Source organism: Homo sapiens, chromosome 10 (assembly GCF_000001405.40).
Source record: "Homo sapiens chromosome 10, GRCh38.p14 Primary Assembly".
Taxonomy (NCBI): domain Eukaryota; kingdom Metazoa; phylum Chordata; class Mammalia; order Primates; family Hominidae; genus Homo; species Homo sapiens.
Window position 1 is genome coordinate 133,374,003 of NC_000010.11, and position 17,832 is coordinate 133,391,834.

The 17,832-nt window shown below is 54.0% G+C and overlaps 1 protein-coding gene and 1 long non-coding RNA gene across 8 annotated transcripts, besides 9 other annotated features; one reads left to right on the plus strand and one right to left on the minus strand.

Annotated features, from left to right (window-relative positions):
* Positions 6–95: an enhancer, noted in NCBI's record as "active region_4248". NCBI's record gives its function as "activates an Ori minimal core promoter by ATAC-STARR-seq in GM12878 lymphoblastoid cells {active_cell/tissue: GM12878}" and the evidence as "EXISTENCE:reporter gene assay evidence [ECO:0000049][PMID:35858748]".
* Positions 734–4,889, minus strand: LOC124902563 (uncharacterized). The gene is made up of 2 exons (XR_007062395.1): positions 2,658–4,889; positions 734–1,204 (listed from the first exon to the last, which is right to left on the minus strand). It is a non-coding gene; the product is annotated as an uncharacterized LOC124902563 (long non-coding RNA).
* Positions 4,353–4,852: an enhancer, noted in NCBI's record as "H3K4me1 hESC enhancer chr10:135191859-135192358 (GRCh37/hg19 assembly coordinates)". NCBI's record gives its function as "activates a minimal SCP1, AML or CMV promoter by ChIP-STARR-seq in naive H9 embryonic stem cells {active_cell/tissue: H9 hESC(naive)}" and the evidence as "EXISTENCE:reporter gene assay evidence [ECO:0000049][PMID:30033119]".
* Positions 4,826–5,085: a silencer, noted in NCBI's record as "silent region_2978". NCBI's record gives its function as "represses an Ori minimal core promoter by ATAC-STARR-seq in GM12878 lymphoblastoid cells {active_cell/tissue: GM12878}" and the evidence as "EXISTENCE:reporter gene assay evidence [ECO:0000049][PMID:35858748]".
* Positions 5,186–5,595: a silencer, noted in NCBI's record as "silent region_2979". NCBI's record gives its function as "represses an Ori minimal core promoter by ATAC-STARR-seq in GM12878 lymphoblastoid cells {active_cell/tissue: GM12878}" and the evidence as "EXISTENCE:reporter gene assay evidence [ECO:0000049][PMID:35858748]".
* On the plus strand, positions 5,260–17,692 carry PAOX (polyamine oxidase). 7 transcript variants are annotated; one of them, NR_109764.2, is made up of 7 exons: positions 5,260–5,495; positions 7,458–7,657; positions 8,850–8,937; positions 9,958–10,210; positions 14,954–15,066; positions 15,588–15,745; positions 17,310–17,692. NR_109764.2 is itself a non-coding variant. In NM_152911.4 (7 exons), the coding sequence occupies exons 1-7, from the start codon at positions 5,315–5,317 to the stop codon at positions 17,451–17,453; spliced, it is 1,536 nt and encodes a 511-aa protein (NP_690875.1). In that variant the 5' UTR covers positions 5,260–5,314; the 3' UTR covers positions 17,454–17,692. The 7 variants fall into 7 exon arrangements, 3 of the variants coding, with proteins under 3 accessions (NP_690875.1, NP_997011.1, NP_997010.1); NM_152911.4 differs by lacking the exon at positions 8,850–8,937 and adding an exon at positions 5,997–6,483; NR_109763.2 differs by lacking the exons at positions 8,850–8,937; positions 9,958–10,210 and adding an exon at positions 5,997–6,483.
* Positions 14,509–14,666: a silencer, noted in NCBI's record as "fragment chr10:135202015-135202172 (GRCh37/hg19 assembly coordinates)". NCBI's record gives its function as "represses an EF-1alpha promoter that drives an FKBP-Casp9 reporter gene in an ReSE screen in HepG2 liver carcinoma cells {active_cell/tissue: HepG2}" and the evidence as "EXISTENCE:reporter gene assay evidence [ECO:0000049][PMID:32094911]".
* Positions 14,509–14,756: a biological region, named in NCBI's record as "ReSE screen-validated silencer GRCh37_chr10:135202015-135202172".
* Positions 14,627–14,756: an enhancer, noted in NCBI's record as "active region_4249". NCBI's record gives its function as "activates an Ori minimal core promoter by ATAC-STARR-seq in GM12878 lymphoblastoid cells {active_cell/tissue: GM12878}" and the evidence as "EXISTENCE:reporter gene assay evidence [ECO:0000049][PMID:35858748]".
* Positions 14,923–15,217: a silencer, noted in NCBI's record as "tiled region #11835; K562 Repressive DNase matched - State 1:Tss". NCBI's record gives its function as "represses a minimal TATA promoter and a strong SV40 promoter by Sharpr-MPRA in K562 cells {active_cell/tissue: K562}" and the evidence as "EXISTENCE:reporter gene assay evidence [ECO:0000049][PMID:27701403]".
* Positions 15,807–15,886: a silencer, noted in NCBI's record as "silent region_2980". NCBI's record gives its function as "represses an Ori minimal core promoter by ATAC-STARR-seq in GM12878 lymphoblastoid cells {active_cell/tissue: GM12878}" and the evidence as "EXISTENCE:reporter gene assay evidence [ECO:0000049][PMID:35858748]".
* Positions 17,693–17,832: the final 140 nt, after the last annotated feature.

Genomic DNA, 17,832 nt, shown 5'->3' on the forward strand with positions numbered 1-17,832 from the left:
GATAAAACCACCCTGGATAAAATGGAATGGAAAGCGAAACTGCTATTGTGACCGGTGGAGGGTGTCCAGGTTCTTGACGTCTTGAACAAAGAACTGGACAAAACGCACAAACAAAGCACGGAAAGAAGGAAGCAACAAAAGCGAGATTTATGGAAAACAAAAGTGTGGCCGGGCGCGGTGGCTCAGGCCTGTAATCCCAGCACTTTGGGAGGCCAAGGCGGGCAGATCACCTGACGTCAGGAGTTTGAGACCAGCCTGGGCAACATGGTGAAACCCCCCTCTCTACTAAAAACACAAAAATTAGCCGGGCGTGGTGGTGCACGCCTGTGGTCTTAGCTACTCGGGAGGCTGACGCAGGAGAATTGCTTGAATCCGGGAGGCGGAGGTTGCAGTGAGCCGAGATCGCACCACTGCCCTCCAGCCTGGGCGATAGAGCCAGACTTCGTCTCAAAAAAGAAACAAGAAAAGACAACGAAAATAACTCCACACTGTGGGAGCGGCTGAGCATAGCGGCTCAAGAGCCCCGTTACAGATTTTTTGGGGGGGTTAAATACCCTCTAGAGGTTTCCATTGGTTACTTGGTGTACGCCCTGTGTAAATGGAGAGGACACTTCTTGTCATAGCGGAAGTGTTTCCATTTGATTTAGTTCTAGGGAGTCAGCATGAATTGGCCTCCAGACCCTGTTCTCCTGCCTCACTATGTTCAAGAAAATAATTCAATTCAAACCAAAAATGAACATGCACCAAAATTTTATTTCAAGACCGAGGGTAAAAATGAAGACATCTCGTGTAAGTAGAAACAAATCAACAACAAACCTCAACAAACCTTTAGTAAACGATGCTCTATACTAGTGTAGTTAAACCTCTGGGACAGACAGGCCCAAAATGAAATGGCTCAGACAGAAAAGAGGTTTATTTCCTTCCTTCCTTCTCCTTCACCTTCTCTTCTTTCCTTTCTTTCTTGTCTCGCTGTCACCCAGGCTGGAGTGCAGTGGTGTCATCCCGGCTCATCATAGCTTGCGCCTCCCGGGTTCAAGCGATTCTCCTGCCTCAGCCTCCTGAGTAGCTGGAACTACGGGTGCTTACCACCATGCCCGGCTAATATTTGTAGTTTTTTAGTAGAGTCGGGAGTTTTGCCATGTTGGCCAGGCTGTTCTCGAACTCCTGACCTCAAGTGATCCACCGGTCTCGGCCTCGCAAAGTGCTGGAATTACAGGAGTGGACCACCGTGTCCGCCAAGAGGTTTCCTTTCTAACGACCCAGGAGGCCGGGCAGCTCCCGTCCTCCATCAAGTAATGTAGCCACAAAAGCACAAGCAACAAAGGGAGAACATATGTAAATTGGATTTCACCAAAATTTAAAACTTTTATGTCTGAAAGGACACTACCAAGATAGTGAGAGGACTGAACAGACATTCCTCCAATGAAGATAATCAGTGTCAGATAAGCTCAGCATCACGAATCATTAGGGAAATGCAAACTGACCCCTCAGTGATACGACGTCACACCTACTGTGCTGGCTGCAATAAAAAGCCCAACAGTCACAGCGGGTTGTGGGGGACGTGAGCGGGGAACGCTGGTACACTGCCAGCGGGAATGGAAAATGGTGCAGTCACTTTGGAAAACAGTCTGTTGTTTCCTCAAAAGGTCAAACAGCAACTCCACTCTTAGGTGTACACCTCAGAGAAATGAAGACAAATGTCCACAAAAACTTAGACATGAACGTTCATAGCAACATTATTCATAATAGCCAAAAAGAGGGAAAAAGCCAATTGTCCATCAACTCATGAATGGATAAACAAAATGTCATATATCCAAACAATGGATACATTAGAATGTATTAGACTATACAATGGACTCTATTCAGGAGTAAAAAAGAAAGAAGCGCTGATACACATTACAAAATGGACAAGCCTTGGAAATGTTATGCTCAGTAAAAAAAGCCAGACACAAAGGCCGTGCATTGAATAGGTTCCATTTCTATGAAATGTACAGAACAGGCAAATCCACAGAGACAGAAACTAGATTAGCGGTCACCAGGGGCTGGAGGGAGGGGTAATGGGGGGGACTGCTGAGGGGCATCCCCATTTGCTTTTTAGGGTGATGAAAATGTCCTAAACTTGGGGCCAGGCGCAGTGGTTCACGCCTGTAATCCCAGCACTTTGGGAGGCCAAGGCAGGTGGATCACCTGAGGTCAGGTGTTCGAGACCAGCCTGGTCCAACATGGTGAAACTCCGTCTCTACTAAAAATACAAAAATTAGCCGGGCGTAGTGGCACATGCCTATAATCCCAGCTACTCAGGAGGCTGAGGCAGGAGAATTGCTTGAACTTGGAAGGCAGAGGTTGCAGTGAGCCAAGGTAGTGTCACTGCACTCCAGCCTGGGCAACAGAGCAAGACTCCATCTCAAAAAAACAAAACAAAACAAAAAAGTTCTAAACTGGATGATGGTGACAGTGGCACAACTCTGTAACTAAACTGAACACCATTGAATTGAACACTTTAAACGGGAGAAGTCTTACAGCATGATGTCTATATCAATAAAGCTATTTTAAAAAATGAACAAGCCTGATTCAGTCAAAGCCACATGGGTAGTTGCCACCTTGATCACCATAGGTGGCATCACCCAAGGCCCTCTGGAGCTAGGAGAAGCACATACCTTGTACCAGTCAGATGGAAAAGAGGTTGTGTCCGTGTGTTCCAGCTGGTGGCTCTGGCATGGCAGGATTGTCCAGGACTGGCCGTGGTCACGTGCACTCTCCATTTCAGAGCAAGGGGGACGAGCGACTAACCCAGCCCCAGGTCAGCGCGTCAGCGGCCCGTGCTATTGGATTCAGGCTGTGGCACCACATCCAGGGGACAAAGAGCGCGTCGGTTGTCCCCACCCTGCAGCTCTTGGGTCCATGTCTTCTCTCTCCGCGCCATAAAGCCAGAGTTCCCATTTCAGTCACTACAATCACCCCTCCTTGCACCAGGCCTTCCAGGTGTGGGGCATGGGCATGTTTACCTCTGGCCTGTGTGGACCGCTGTGGGGAGGCTTGGCCAGCAAGTTGCTGAGCCAAGTATCTTTTATGGGATCCTGCCGCTCCACAGGAGGATCCGGGAGGCTGAACTAGAGTTAAGTTAGAATCTTTCGGTTCCCCTTCGGGCTGGGCTCCCCGCAGGAACCAGGAACGGGCTGGCCAGGAGGACATGATGGACCGGGAGAAGGTGACAGAGGCAAAGCCAGACCCTTCCTGTTCCATCTTGCAGAGGCTGTCCCAACGCGAGGTGAGGCCAGGTGCCTGGGGGACATCGATGCCTGACCAGAGCCCAGCCTGGACAGCCTTCCAGCAAAGGCTGGGCACTGGCCGACCGTAACGGCCCAGGAGAATGAGGACACGGGAGTCTCGGGGCTGGAGGAGCTGGCTGACCAGATGGTGCCTGACACGGTGCTGAAAACAGGGCAGCAGTCCCCAGAGGCTGAGGGGCCAAAGTAGCCTGTCCACCCAGAGTGGCGAGGCCCACGCCTGTGCAGGAGGCCTGAGGCATGGGGTGGCCTCCCTCACAGCTGTGCCCACCCAGCCTGTGCGCAGGGCGATGTGCTCCTATGTCTGGGCAGTGAGCTGGGCCCTGCGGCGAGAGCAGCAGCAGCTCGATTTCACACGGAGCCACTAGGGAGTGGGCCGTTCCCTTGGCCATACCCGTGGGGGACCCAGTTCATCTGTGGAATTCAGAACCCCAGAGTATTTAATCTGCCATCTCAGGACCTCCGCTGGGGAGCTGGGGCAGGTGGGTGGGTGGTCCCGCTGGGCTTCCGTGGTGCATGCCAGGGACCTCAGAATGGAGCGCCCCACTGAGCCAGCGGCTCTGCTTCAGGCCCAAGAGCAGGGAGTAAGAGAGAAGCCTGCTCAGGCAGAACAGGTGACACTCGTGGCGGGGGCTGCACCCCAAACACTTGCCATCCGACTAAGGGTGTGGGGCAGCCCTTCTTTCCTTAGTCCTGGCATGTCGGGTGGGTCAGCTTGGTGGACAGCTGGCCCTGCTGACCCGGGATCCGCCCTGGGTTCCCCATGGCCTGGAGGCAGGAGGAGATGGCCACTGCATCCAGCGTCGCCTCCTGGTGCTGCGGGCCCCTGACGGACAGAGGACGCTCGACCCCTGCCCGCCACCGCCCAGGGAGTCAGCCCGACTCCCAGGCACCCGCCCCTCTCCCTGCCTGGAGCTCAGCTCGCGGGGTTGGCTAGGGAGTGATGGGGAGTGGAATCCAGCGACACCAGGTCACCCTTCCGGGAGCCTTTTCTCCAGCTGGGACGAGAGGGAATCAAAGGAAAGTAAGACACGGCTCAGGAGGCCCACGCCGAGAGCGAAGAGTGAAGCTCACGCTGGCAAACTGGAGCGCGCGGCCCCTCGGCAGAGGACCGGGGCTCAGGAGGCGGGGACGCGCCTGAAAACAGGGCGGGAGCCTTTCCAACCCCCGCGGGCTGCGATGCAGCAGAAAACTCGGCCGCCTGCACCGGGGATTCTCCAGAAACACAGGCGTGCCTGGGTGTGCGCTCAACTTCCCGGGCGAGGGACGTTTCTGCACTTGCCCTCGGCTTCTGAACTTTGTACTTTGCGAGTGTACTTTGTACTTTGGTCCTGTGTCCCTGCAGCCCTGTGACTACACGCGCACACGCAGGCGCGCGCACACGCGAACTGACGGCTCGCTGGCGATGCTGGAGGCTTTCACAGCCCCCCTCCGGACGCGTTAAGCTCTCCCAGGTCCCACCCCTGACACCGTGGCACCCCCAGACCCACTGCGCCCTCGCACTCGACGCGGGTCCCTGGGGGAAGCGCTCGCTGCGCCCTCGTCTCCCTTGGAGGAGACACTGGCCCGCCCGGCCGGCCGGCTTCTCCCTCCATGGGGACGCTCGCGCGCACCGCCCGGCAGCGCGGGACGCTCCCTGACGCCTGTCCTCGCGGGCCCTCCCACGCGGGGCGCTTCCCTCTGAGACCCGAGCCCAGTCCGGAGGCTCGCGGAGGCCGAGGCGCACTGTGGGGCTCGGCCCGGCCCCTTCCCCGCCCCTCCCCGCCCCTCCCCGCCCCTCCCCGCGCCTCCCCGCGCCTCCCCGCGCCTCCCCGCGCCTCCCCGCCCCTCCCCGCGCCTCCCCGCCCCTCCCCGCGCCTCCCCGCCCCTCCCCGCCCCTCCCCGCCCCTCCCCGCGCCTCCCCGCGCCTCCCCGCCCCTCCCCGCCCCTCCCAGCGCCTCCCCGCCCCCTCGCTCCGCCTCCGGCCTCCTCCGAGAGCTCCAGACCTCCCGGCTACTCAGAAGCCCTCGGACTGCCCGGACCGCGCGATGGAGTCGACCGGCAGCGTCGGGGAGGCCCCGGGCGGACCCCGGGTGCTGGTGGTGGGCGGCGGCATCGCGGGGCTGGGCGCGGCGCAGAGGCTCTGCGGCCACTCCGCCTTCCCGCACCTGCGGGTCCTGGAGGCCACGGCCCGCGCCGGGGGCCGCATCCGCTCGGAGCGCTGCTTCGGTAACCGCCCCTCCCGGAGCCCCTCCCGGAACCCAACCGGCTGCGCCCGAACTCGCCGGCCCCAACCTGCCCTGCGCGCAGCCGACCTGCCCGGCCGCCTCACCGGGCTCCCCGAGGGAATCCCCGCTCGCTTAATCCGCCAGAGTTCACCGCCCCGAAACTCAGGGCTCAGAGTTAGTCAGGAGGGCGCCGGCCAGGGAAGGCGACCTACGGCTCCACAAGGCCGCCCTGATTCTGCCCCACGGGGGCCCCCCCAGCCCCGGGGTACGCCCACCCTGCGCCCCTCCCTCTGGTCCACACCGCCCGACAAGTGCCCTCCTGCCCAGGTGCTCCCCTTAAACTGGGTCTGACAGGGCCCTGCCCTGGGGGACCACAGGGCCCTTGGGGACAGTGTGGTACATCCTCCTTGGGAAGGCCAGCGTGGGCGTGGCCCAGGAGAAGGGCTCGGGGTGACCCTTCTAGGAAAGGGACCTCCAGGTGGCATCTGCTGTCCCCTCGCAGGTGGCGTGGTGGAGGTGGGCGCGCACTGGATCCATGGGCCCTCCCGGGGTAACCCCGTCTTCCAGCTGGCTGCTGAGTACGGGCTGCTGGGGGAGAAGGAGCTGTCCCAGGAGAACCAGCTGGTGGAGACCGGGGGTCACGTGGGCCTGCCCTCCGTGAGCTACGCCAGCTCCGGGGCCAGCGTGAGCCTCCAGCTGGTGGCGGAGATGGCGACTCTGTTCTACGGCCTGATAGACCAGACCCGGGAGTTCCTGCACGCTGCAGAGACCCCGGTGCCCAGCGTCGGGGAGTACCTCAAGAAGGAGATTGGCCAGCACGTGGCCGGCTGGACAGAGGATGAGGAGACCAGGAAGCTGAAGCTGGCCGTCCTGAACTCCTTCTTCAACCTGGAATGCTGTGTGAGCGGCACCCACAGCATGGACCTGGTGGCCCTGGCACCCTTTGGGGAGTATACCGTGCTGCCGGGGCTGGACTGCACCTTTTCTAAGTGCGTGCCTGAGCCCCTGCCCCGCCAGTCCTCCCACCAGGCTCCCCAGGGCACCGGGGCTGGCTGAGCTCCGCTCTTGCTTGGGTATGGGAGGGACAGGAGACCATTTGTCCTCCCCATTCCGACAGACTGGTTGCTCCTTTCCCTAGTTTTGCTCATTTAAGCCAAAAAAGTTATTTCTGAGAGAGAGTGTTTAAAAGAAGGAAAGGTAAGGCTGAGTGCGGTGGCTCACGCCTGTAATCCCAGCACTTTGGGAGGCTGAGGCAGGTGGATCATGAGGTCAGGAGTTCAAGAACAGCCTGGCCAACATGGTGAAATCCCATCTCTACTAAAAATACAAAAATTAGCCGGGCGTGATGGTGCATGCCTGTAATCCCAGCTACTCGGGAGGCTGAGGCAGGAGAATTGCTTGAACCTGGGAGGCGGAGGTTGCAGTGAGCCAAGACTGCGCCATTGCACTCCAACCTGGGCGACAGAGTGAGACTCCATCTCAAAAGAGAAAAAAAGAAGAAGAGTAAAGACTTCTCTTGCTCCTGTATTTATGAGGGGCTTCAACTGCAGAGGGGGCCAGACAGGCCCTCTCCCTGTGGCAGGGTGGCTGCCAGGTACCAGGTGCAGATGAGACCCTCCTCGGGCTGTCCCGTCACCCCTGGTGTTGGCCCCAAGGCTCCTGGCCAGGCAATGGGCATTTGTGAGTCAGGAACTCTGTGGTGGTAAGGAGGAAGCCCTGGTTCCGGCAGATTGCCTTGAGTGCTCTGTGCCCACTGAACCCTCCCTTACAGCCTGGAGGGCAGGTATGAGCATCCTTGAGGTGGAAAACCACAGAGTGGAGCTGACCTCCTTGCTGGCCCTGAGCGATGGAGAGCTCCCCGCAGCTACCTTTGATGCGGGTGGGAACTCAGAGCACGTATTTCCACCAGTCCTGCCCTTCCAGGGACTGGGCCTCTACGAAACCAGCACTTCCGTCTTTCTAGGGGCTATCAAGGACTCACAAACTGCATGATGGCCGCCCTGCCGGAGGACACTGTAGTTTTTGAGAAGCCTGTGAAGACCATCCACTGGAACGGGTCCTTCCAGGAGGCAGCCTTTCCCGGGGAGACCTTTCCAGTGTCGGTAGAGTGTGAGGATGGAGACCGGTTCCCGGCGCACCATGTCATCGTCACCGTGCCCTTAGGTAGGTCAGGTTTTCAGCCCAAACCCCCATCCCAAGTGCCCCCGCCTCTGCCCTTACCCTGCCTCAGTTGGCTCTGGGGCGTTTGCTTGTGTACGAAGCTCACATTTTCGTTCTAGTAAGTTCCAGATAGGTGGAAGGAATGATTCTGTTATGTTTTGTAGCAATTACATGCTTTGGAATTAAGGGTTTCACCGTAAGAAAAAACGCGAGTAAGTATGCGTCCTGCTCGCTTGGAGGTAACCGTTTAGGGTTGCGACGGCCTTGGAGATTAACCACACCGCACTTTGCTGCAGACAGGAAAAGGCATGAAAGGCCTGGTCTGAAGGTCAGGCCTGGGGTGACCTGTTGAAGGAGCCGTGTGTATAATTCTGTTTAATTCTAGATCTGGTGCTTTAGATCTGTCCTTGAGTAGAGGTGGTTTGAAGCTGTTTTATAAAAGGTGGAGATGGTTGAAAACAGAGTTACTAGGATAATTGCTGTCAACTGGACATTTGCTTCCCACGGGTTTCACGCTGCCGTGGGTCTCTGCCTGAGTTATCTCATTGACTCAGGCAGCCTTGGGAGGTGTCTGTCATTGTCCCACATATGACAGATTTGAACATCTAGGCAAGTAGAGAGAAGTCACTTAATTGCCCAAGTTCACAAAGCTAGCGATTGCCAGCACTCACTTGGAAATCTAGGTGTGATTGACAGGTGTGTGATGAAAAGCAGGAGCCTCCGCAGCCCTAACTCCTGTCTCCAAGGGGTGGCTTTGCCCTCCCCGGGGCAGGGATGAGCACTGAGACCCCATTGCTGTTTCCCAGAGATGCAGTCGTCGTCCACACATGAACATCTGCTGCTGGCTGGGCACGGTGGCTCACGCTTGTAATCCCAGCCCTTTGGGAAGCTGAGGCAGGCGGATCACCTGAGGTCAGGAGTTCGAGACCAGCCTGGTCAACATGATGAAACCCTGTCTCTACTAAAAATCCAAAAATTAGCTGGGCATGGTGGCAGGCACCTGTAATTCCAGCTACTTGGGAGGCTGAGGCAGGAGAATCGCTTGAACGGGGGAGGCAGAGGTCACAGTGAGCCGAGATGGTGTCATTGCACTCCAGCCTGGGTGACAGAGTGAGACTCTGTCTCAGAAAAAAAAAAAAACCAAAAATCTGCTGCTCAGTTTGCCTGTTTTTGTTTTTTGTTTTTTTCTTAATAGAACTTGTCAGTGTTTCCAAATCAGCACACATAGATCTACAGCGGTCTTTTTTGTTTCCCTCCAGTGGCTTTGTTCATTCACGTTTGGAGTAAGTGCTTGCAGGCCCTGCTAAGTGCTGATCACGGGGACATTGTCAGTAGATACATTGCTACAACTGTGAGCATTTTGTTTATAAGGAGCCAGTTCACAAAAATTAGCCGTCGGGTGCCTGTAGTCCCAGCTACTCAGGAGGCTGAGGCTGGAGAATTGCTTGAACCCAGGAGGCAGAGGTTGCAGTGAGCCGAGATTGTGCCATTGCACTCCAGCCTGGGAGACCAGAGCGAAACTCCGTCTCAAAAAAAAAGGAGCGGGTTAATTTGCCACGCAGTGTTTTCTTGTCATTATTTCATAAGCATAGATGGAAATTTAGGTGGCCTTCACTTTTTCTATTTCATGCAGTTTTACATGTGCACTTAAAAACACTTGTGTTGGCCAGGCACGGTGGCTCACGCCTGTAATCCCAGCACTTCGGGAGGCTGAGGCAGGTAGATCACCTGAGGTCACGAGTTCAAGACCAGCCTAACCAACATGGCAAGACCCCATCTCTACTAAAAATAGAAAAATTAGCTGGGCCTGGTCGTGGGTGCCTGTAATCCCAGCTATTTGGGAAGCTGAGGCAGGAGAATCACTAGAACCTGGGAGGTGGAGGTTGCAGTGAGCCAAGATGGCATCGTTGCATTCCAGCTTGGGCGACAGAGTGAGAATCCATCTCAAAAAAAAAAAAAAAAAGAAAACCCAAAAAACAAAAAAACAAAAAACACTTGTGTGAAAGGTGGGGAACAGAGGCTCACGCCTGTAATCCCAGCAGTTTGGGAGGCCAAAGTGGGAGGACTGAGCCAGGGAGGTCAAGGCTGCAGTGAGCCCTGATCATGGTGCTGCATGCACTCTAGCCTGGGCAACAGAGCAAGACCCTATCTCAAAAACAAGGACAAAAAAGTAAAACTGCTTGTGTGAATGTGTCTGTAGGATAAACACCAGCAGGGGAAATTGCTGGATCCAAGGTCTGGACAGACAGGACTTCCGTGGAGGGCTTTATGTGATGTAAGAAGAGTCCAATTCTGAATTCCAGGTTTTCTTAGGGAACATTTGGACACCTTCTTTGACCCTCCCCTGCCGGCTGAGAAGGCAGAAGCAATCAGGAAGATAGGCTTTGGGACCAACAACAAAATCTTCCTGGAGTTTGAGGAGCCCTTCTGGGAGCCAGACTGCCAGCTGATCCAGCTGGTGTGGGAGGACACGTCGCCCCTGGAGGATGCTGCCCCTGAGCTACAGGACGCCTGGTTCCGGAAGCTCATTGGCTTTGTGGTCCTGCCTGCCTTTGCGTACGTTTGCTCCCTGAGAAGTTCTGCGAGTGGCTGGCTCATAGGCCTTCATCTGATGGAGGACGCAGCAGTGTGTCTGTTCACTGCAGGGTATTTCTAGGGGGTTTAATGGGTAGGGTTCCCATGAGCGCCCCCCCACCAGGTGCTGGCTGCACCTGGGCCTGACCCCTGCGGGGACAGATGGCGCCCTGCTGTATGCGGGTTGTCAGCGTCCCTCAGGGCCCAGAATGTGTTTGTAGACTTGCAGGCAGGCTCAGTCTTCAGTCAGTGGGAACGTGTTTACTGGAATGTTGCAGGGAGCTGGGGCTTGTAGATACAGAAGAACTTTGAAACACCATCTGCCCATACGTGGGGAGACAATACTTAAATGGGATGAAATAATTGAAGGAAACATTCCGAGAAGTAATGGAATGGGAGACCCACAGAGGAAGGGCTCCCTTGTATGGGCTGGCCCTCTTAGAAACAGCATATCTAGACCACGTGGCGATTCAGGAGTTAATCCCATGAGTGATGTGGGGATGGAGGGACTGACTTTTCCAGCAAGATTAAAACACAAAGACAGCCTGATATAGTCAGATGGCAGAAATAATTCCACGTTTCCACTGAGAGATGCCGCAGGAGGGGGCACCAAGTTCTTGTTCTGAAAGACCCGGGATGGGGTGGGATGTAGGGCATGCCTGCCAGATGGTTCATAGTTGCCATCCACTGGGAGCAGGAGGCTGCAGGCTGCAGACCAGCCCTGCACCTGTGACGGGGGAAGCCTGTGTGTCTCCTTCACACTGAAGAGAAAACTGGCATTTCGGCCAGGCGCGGTGGCTCATGTCTGTAATCCCTGCACTTTGGGAGGCTGAGGCGGGTGGATCACCTGAGGTCAGGAGTTCGAGACCAGCCTGGCCAACATGATGAAACCCCGTCTCTACTAAAAATACAAAAAATTAGCCGGTGTGGTGGCACGCACCTGTAATCACAGCTACTCAGGAGGCTGAGGCAGGACAATCGCTTGAACCTGGGAGGCAGAGGTTGCAGTGAGCTGAGATTGTGCCACTGCACTCCAGCCTTGGCAACAAGAGCAAAACTCTGTCTAAAAAAAAAAAGAAAGAAAACTGGCATTCCAGGTGTTGAGATAGGCCTGGGTTGCTGGTGGGCAGCCGGGTGGGTGACTGTGTGTAGAGCCACCTGCTCCAGGCCCAGCCCCACCTCCTGTGCTCTCTTGCTTAGGACATCAGTGGGACCCTGAGTGCTTTGGTGGGACCCTGTCTGTGGCACGGGGTGGTAGCTGTCCCATCCTTTTATATACCTGCAAAGGGTTGGGGATCTCAAAGAGCTTTTGTTTATGTGAGTCACATCTGTAAATTTACCCCATGATAAATAAAATATTTTTTTGTTTTTGAGATGGAGTCTCGCTCTGTCCCCCAGACTGGAGTGCAGTGGTGCAATCTTGGCTCACTGCAAGCCCCACCTCCTGGGTTCACGCCATTCTCCTGCCTCAGCCTCCTGAGTAGCTGGAACTACAGGCACCCACCACCACGCCCGGCTAATTGTTTGTATTTTTAGTAGAGACAGGGTTTCACCGTGTTAGCCAGGATGGTCTCGATCTCCTGACCTCGTGATCCGCCCGCCTCGGCCTCCCAAAGTGCTGGGATTACAGGCATGAGCCACCGCACCCAGTCACCACATGATAAATTAAATTATTATTTGAGATGATAGTAACAAACCTATTCTATGTTAGCATAAATAACATTTTTAAATGAATATTTTCTTAAAATTTAATGAAGGGTGGCAGCAGTTTTGTCTTTTCTGCAAAACTTTTTTTTTTTTTTTTTGAGACAAGGTCTCTCTGTCACCCAGGCTGGAATGCATGGAATGCAGTGGCGTGATCTCAGCTCACTGCAACCTCTGCCTCTTGGGTTCAAGCGATTTTCCTGCCTCAGCCTCCCGAGTAGCTGGGATTATAGGTGTGTGCCACCATGCCCAGCTAATTTTTGTAGTTTTAGTAGAGACAGGGTTTTGCCATGTTGGCCAGGCTGGTCTCGAACTCCTGGCCTCAAGTGATCCGCCCACCTTGGCCTCCCAAAGTGCTGGGATTACAGGTGTGAGCCACCACGCCCGGCCTTTTCTGCAAAACTCTTCAGTGTTACACTTAATAGAAGACATCTGGGTTCTCAGGCCTCCTCTGCATTCATTCTGTGGTGATGTTTTATTTTGGTTGAAACATAGGAAGAAAATGTGGATCTACATGGATATGTGGTTGGAAGAAGGAGTGATATTTGTTTATTTATGAGATGGAGTTTTGCTTTTGTCGCCCAGGCTGGAGTGTAATAGCTCGATCTCGGTTCACTGCAACCTCCGCCTCCCGGGTTCAAGCAATTCTCCTGCCTCAGCCTCCTGAGTAGCTGGGATTACAGGTGCCCACCACCACACCCGGCTAATTTAGTATTTTTAGCAGAGATGGGGTTTCTCCATGTTGGTCAGGCTGGTCTCGAACTCCTGACCTCAAGTGATCTGCCCACCTTGGCCTCCCAAAGTATTGGGATTACAGGCGTGAGCTACTGCGCCCGGCCAAAGGAGTGATATTTAAATAGCTTTTGAAATGATTGTGGGTATTCTTTGATACTACCTCAAAAGTCAAGATGTAGTAGTAATTCCTTAAAGGTTGGCCAAATATGAAATTGGAGAGCACACCAGTGAATTTTTTGTCTTCTGTGACACTGAAATCTATTTGTCTGTCTTGCACTTTAAATGGATCTTTTATCTATCCATGGCTTTAGTCATTGGAAAATACTAGGCTGGGCTTGGTGGCTCATGCCGGTAATTCCAGCACTTTGGGAGGCCAAGGTGTGCAGATGGCTTGAACTCAGGAGTTCGAGACCAGCCTGGGCAACATAGCAAGACCCAGTCTCTACCAAAAATACAAAAAGCTAGCCAGATGTGGTGGTGCGTGCCTGTGGTCCCAGCTACTGGGAGGCTGAGGTGGGAGGATTGCTTGAGCCCAGGAGGCGGAGGTTGCAGTGAGCTGTGATCAAGCCACTGAACTCCAGCCTGGGCAACAGAGGGAGGCCATGTCTTAAAAAAATAAAATATATATATATTGGTTCATGTAGTCTTCCAAATGTTGATACATTTCATTATACAATATAAAAAATCAAATTTATTAACATACCACTGATCTCAGAAAAGTCTTTCAGGATTGGGAAGCTGTTATGCTGTTGGTGGCAGAAACAAGCTTTTCTAAAATTGCAGTTTTTGCTTGAGAGCTTAAACTTTGTCATTGTCTATAAATACTATTTGTTAGTTGTTTTCCTGTGATAGAGACACTTTGCTCATTTTCAAGAAAATGTCACCAAATACCACACCATGATTTGTCTGACTGGTGCTCTCCTGAGTTCTGAGCCTGTCTGTGAAAGACGCACCAGCCCCGCCTGGAATAGCGTGTGCTAGGTGAGTCCTCCACGGCCACCGTGCACCACGCGCAGCAGGAGTGTTCTATGCGGATCCCGCTTCTCCACGCAGATTATTATTATTTTTTGAGATGGAGTCTTACTCTGTCGCCCAGGCTGGAGAGCAGTGGCGCGATCTTGGCTCACCGCAACCTCCACCTCCCGGGTTCATGCCATTCTCCTGCCTCAACCTGCCGAGTAGCTGGGACTACAGGTGCCCGCCACCACGCCTGGCTAATTTTTGTATTTTTATTAGACAGGGCTTTACCATATTGACCAGGCTGGTCTCGAACTCCTGACCTCGTGATCCGCCCGCCTTGGCCTCCCAAAGTGCTGGGATTACAGGCCTGAGCCACTGTGCCTGGCCCTCCACGCAGATTATTAAAAAGACATGAACTCGAGGATCAAGATTTAATAAAATTAGTAACTTTTACTGCCTTTGATCAAGGACATTCTCAAGTGAAAGCAGCATTTTTATTTATTTTTTAATATATATATTTTAATTTTTATATTCAGAGGCAGGGATATACGTGCAGGTTTGTTATGTAGCTAACCGTGTATCATGGGGGCTTGTTGTACAGATTAGTTCTATCACCCAGGAATTAAACCTAGTACCCATTAGTTATTTTTCCTGCTCCTCTCCCTCCTCCCATCCTCCACTCTCCCATAGGCCCCAGTGTGTGTTCTCATCATTTAGCTCCCACTTGAAAGGGAAAACATGTGCTGTCTGCTTTTCTGTTCCTGTGTTAGTTTGCTAAGGATAATGGCCTCCAGCTCCATCCATGTCCCTGCAAAGGACATGATCTCGTTCTTTGACGGCTGCAAAAAGCAGCATTTTGTAACCCTCATGTGCAGTGGTGGGAACGCCTGTAGGCGCATGTGGATCCTGTTGCTGCCTGATTCTGCTAAGGGACGGTTTACCTGCCCTGGCTCTTGCTCAGGTGCAAATGTCGGCGTGGTGGAAACAGCAAATGCTGTCTTAGCGTCTGAAGATGGCTGTGACCTTGAGGGTCCCTGGCAGGGCCTTCGGACCCCCAGGACTTTGCCGCCCACACTCTGCGAACTGCTGCCTGAGGGACGCTCTGTGGGGTGGCTCTTTGTGCCTCTGGGGCCCCTGCTCCATCAGTGGTTCCTTGCTGAGAAACGCGGGCGGAGAGCTGGGCTGGACACTGTCATCCCGGGGCTCTCTTTCTCCATGCAGGTCTGGTCATCCCAGGGCTCTCTTTCTCCATGCAGGTCTGGTCATCCCAGGGCTCTCTTTCTCCATGCAGGTCTGGTCATCCCAGGGCTCTCTTTCTCCATGCAGGTCTGTCCACGTTCTCTGTGGGTTCATTGCCGGACTTGAGTCTGAGTTCATGGAGACTCTGTCGGATGAAGAAGTACTTCTGTGTCTCACCCAAGTGCTCCGGAGAGTGACAGGTAGGTACTCACCACACACGCTGGTTCCTGCCTCTGCTCGTTACTGGTTGATCTCTAAACAGAAACTAGACTTTGCAGAACAGAGAAAAACTAAATTTGGCTGACTCTGTACATCTCCAGGGACCATCCTTCCTCATGTTAGTGGGGTCAGTAACAGTTCTTACCTCCGAGGAACTGAAATGACTTTGCAAACACTTCCTACTTCTGCCACCAAAATAAATGCCGTTGTCCTTGATCAGATTTTTACAGAGGAGGAACCCAAGGCTCGGAAACAGTAGCTGCTGCTGTCACAGCTCCCGGGTCCCGGCCCGCTGCTGTCGGGTCAGAGGCCCCCGGGTCCCAGCCCACTGCTCTCGGGTCAGAGGCGGCAGGAAGAGCCTCTCCTGACACACTCTGCTGCTCACTTTTCTTCCTGCATAGCATCTTTCACGTTAAACTGCTCAATCTTTAAAAATGACAAAAACAGTTGCAGACCTGTGGGTGAGAGTTCTCGGTTAACATGCAGTGTCTCTGTGGCTCAGGAAACCCACGGCTCCCCGCGCCCAAGAGCGTCCTGCGGTCTCGCTGGCACAGCGCCCCGTACACTAGGGGGTCCTACAGCTACGTGGCCGTGGGCAGTACTGGGGGCGACCTGGACCTGCTGGCTCAGCCCCTCCCTGCAGACGGCGCCGGCGCCCAGGTATGTGGCGTGCCCCAGTCGGGGGGCGTGGGTCCCGCTGCAGAGGCCCCCGCCGAGTCTGGGCGCTGCAGGAGCACCAGCCAGTGGCGGGTGGGCTGGGATCCCAGACTCGGAAGCCATTTTCTTTTTGAAACTAAGAATAATTTTTAAATGTACTGTTTTTGTGAGAATTATACACACACAGCTTAAAAAGTCAGAGAATTCTGCAGTGCTAACAAAAGAAAATAAAACCAAAATGGCAGGTGGAGCCCCTTTTGCCCTTCTCAGACGGTGCTCCCAGCTGATTCTCATCGCTAAGTTTACTGCATCTCTAAAAACATGTTTCTGCTACCACGTTTTGAGATACATTTCCTGTGCAAAATGTCAAACATACTAAAGTAGGGAGAACCTTTCAGTGCCCACCAGGCTTCCCCTAAGCCAAGCTTCTCCCCGCCCACCCCCGCCCTTTTTTATTAAGCATGACTCACACAGGACATTGTCTCACCTCAGGATATTTTGGTGCCTGTTTCTAAAAGATAAAGACATCCTTGTAAAATACTTAACTATGATGCTGAGGGCAGTGGCTCACACCTGTAATCCTAGTGCTTTGGGAGGCCTAGGCAGGAGGTTTGCTGAGGCCAAGAGTTCGAGACCAGCCTGGGCAACATAGTGAGAGTCGGTCTCCACACACACACACACACACACACACACACACACACAAGTAGCCAGGCATGGTAGCATGCACCTGTAGTCCCAGCTGCTCAGGCTTGGGCCCAGGAAGTTGAGGCTGGAGTAAGCTATGACTGCACCACTGGACTCCAGCCTGGGTGTCAGAGCAAGACTCTGTCTCAGAAAACATAAAAATAAAACCATATAACTATGATACCATTTACCCACTTAAAAATTAATAATCATTCCTCAATATGATCCAATATTTAGTCACTGTTCAGTTTTCCAATCAGCTCATGGTCTCTCTTCAGTGAACCTGCTTGGAAATGTTGCTTCTTGAGTTTTCAGTTTCAGGTGTTACTAATTGACTTCTCATTACATCAGATAAGGCTGTAGCTTTCTTCCTCTGCCCACCCGACTCCCAGATCCCTCCCCCACCCTCCCCATATGTGATCCAGGAGTTGAGGCCAGATCACTATTCAGTGTTTACACCCCTTGTTTTCTCTAAAAGCTGTTCACACCTGAGCTGCGGGGTGCAGTGGCTTCCTTTCCCACCCATTGGTGGATGCGTGTGAGCCGTCTTCCCACCCGTTGGTGGATGCGTGTGAGCCGTTTTCCCGCCCGTTGGTGGATGCGTGTGAGCCGTTTTCCCGCCCGTTGGTGGATGCGTGTGAGCCGTTTTCCTGGCTGTTGATGGATACATGTGAGCTGTTTTCCTGCCCGTTGGTGGATGTGTGTGAGCTGTTTTCCTGGCTATTGGTGGGTACACGTGAGCCCTTTTCTCGTCCGTTGGTGGAGGTGTGTGAGCTGTTTTCCTGCTTCTTGGTGGATGCTTGTGAGCCATTTTCTGTGTTTCCTTGCCCAGACCCTGCTGTCTGAATTGCATCCCCATTCTAACCCTGGCTCTTCTTTGCAGCTCCAGATCCTGTTTGCGGGGGAAGCCACACATCGCACGTTTTACTCCACGACGCACGGGGCTCTGCTGTCGGGATGGAGGGAGGCCGACCGCCTCCTCAGTCTGTGGGCCCCGCAGGTGCAGCAGCCCAGGCCCAGGCTCTAGCTGGGCCCAGCCTACTCTGTTCCACCCGTGTCGGGGGTAGGCTGGGACCCTCATTTCTTCTGACAGATTTCAGTCTGGCTTGAAATTTGGGGATGTTAATGAGGGTCCTCTGGTTTTTGGTAACCAGGGCCACCTTCTCAGTTCTTGTGTCTGTTATTGGAGTCTGGCCAGGGTTGACTTGAGCTGAGACACCAGATGCTCACGGAGATGCTGGACACATAAAGCAAGTTACAGCCACAGCTCCCAGAGCCATCTTTCCTGCCTTGAGGCTGTCCTGTCCTTCCTGCCTTGGGGCTCCAGCATCTGCTGCTGTTGTCTTTGTCTTGCTCCGGGCCCAGGTTGCACAGGGCCCTGTGTCTCCAATCCCCACAACCACACA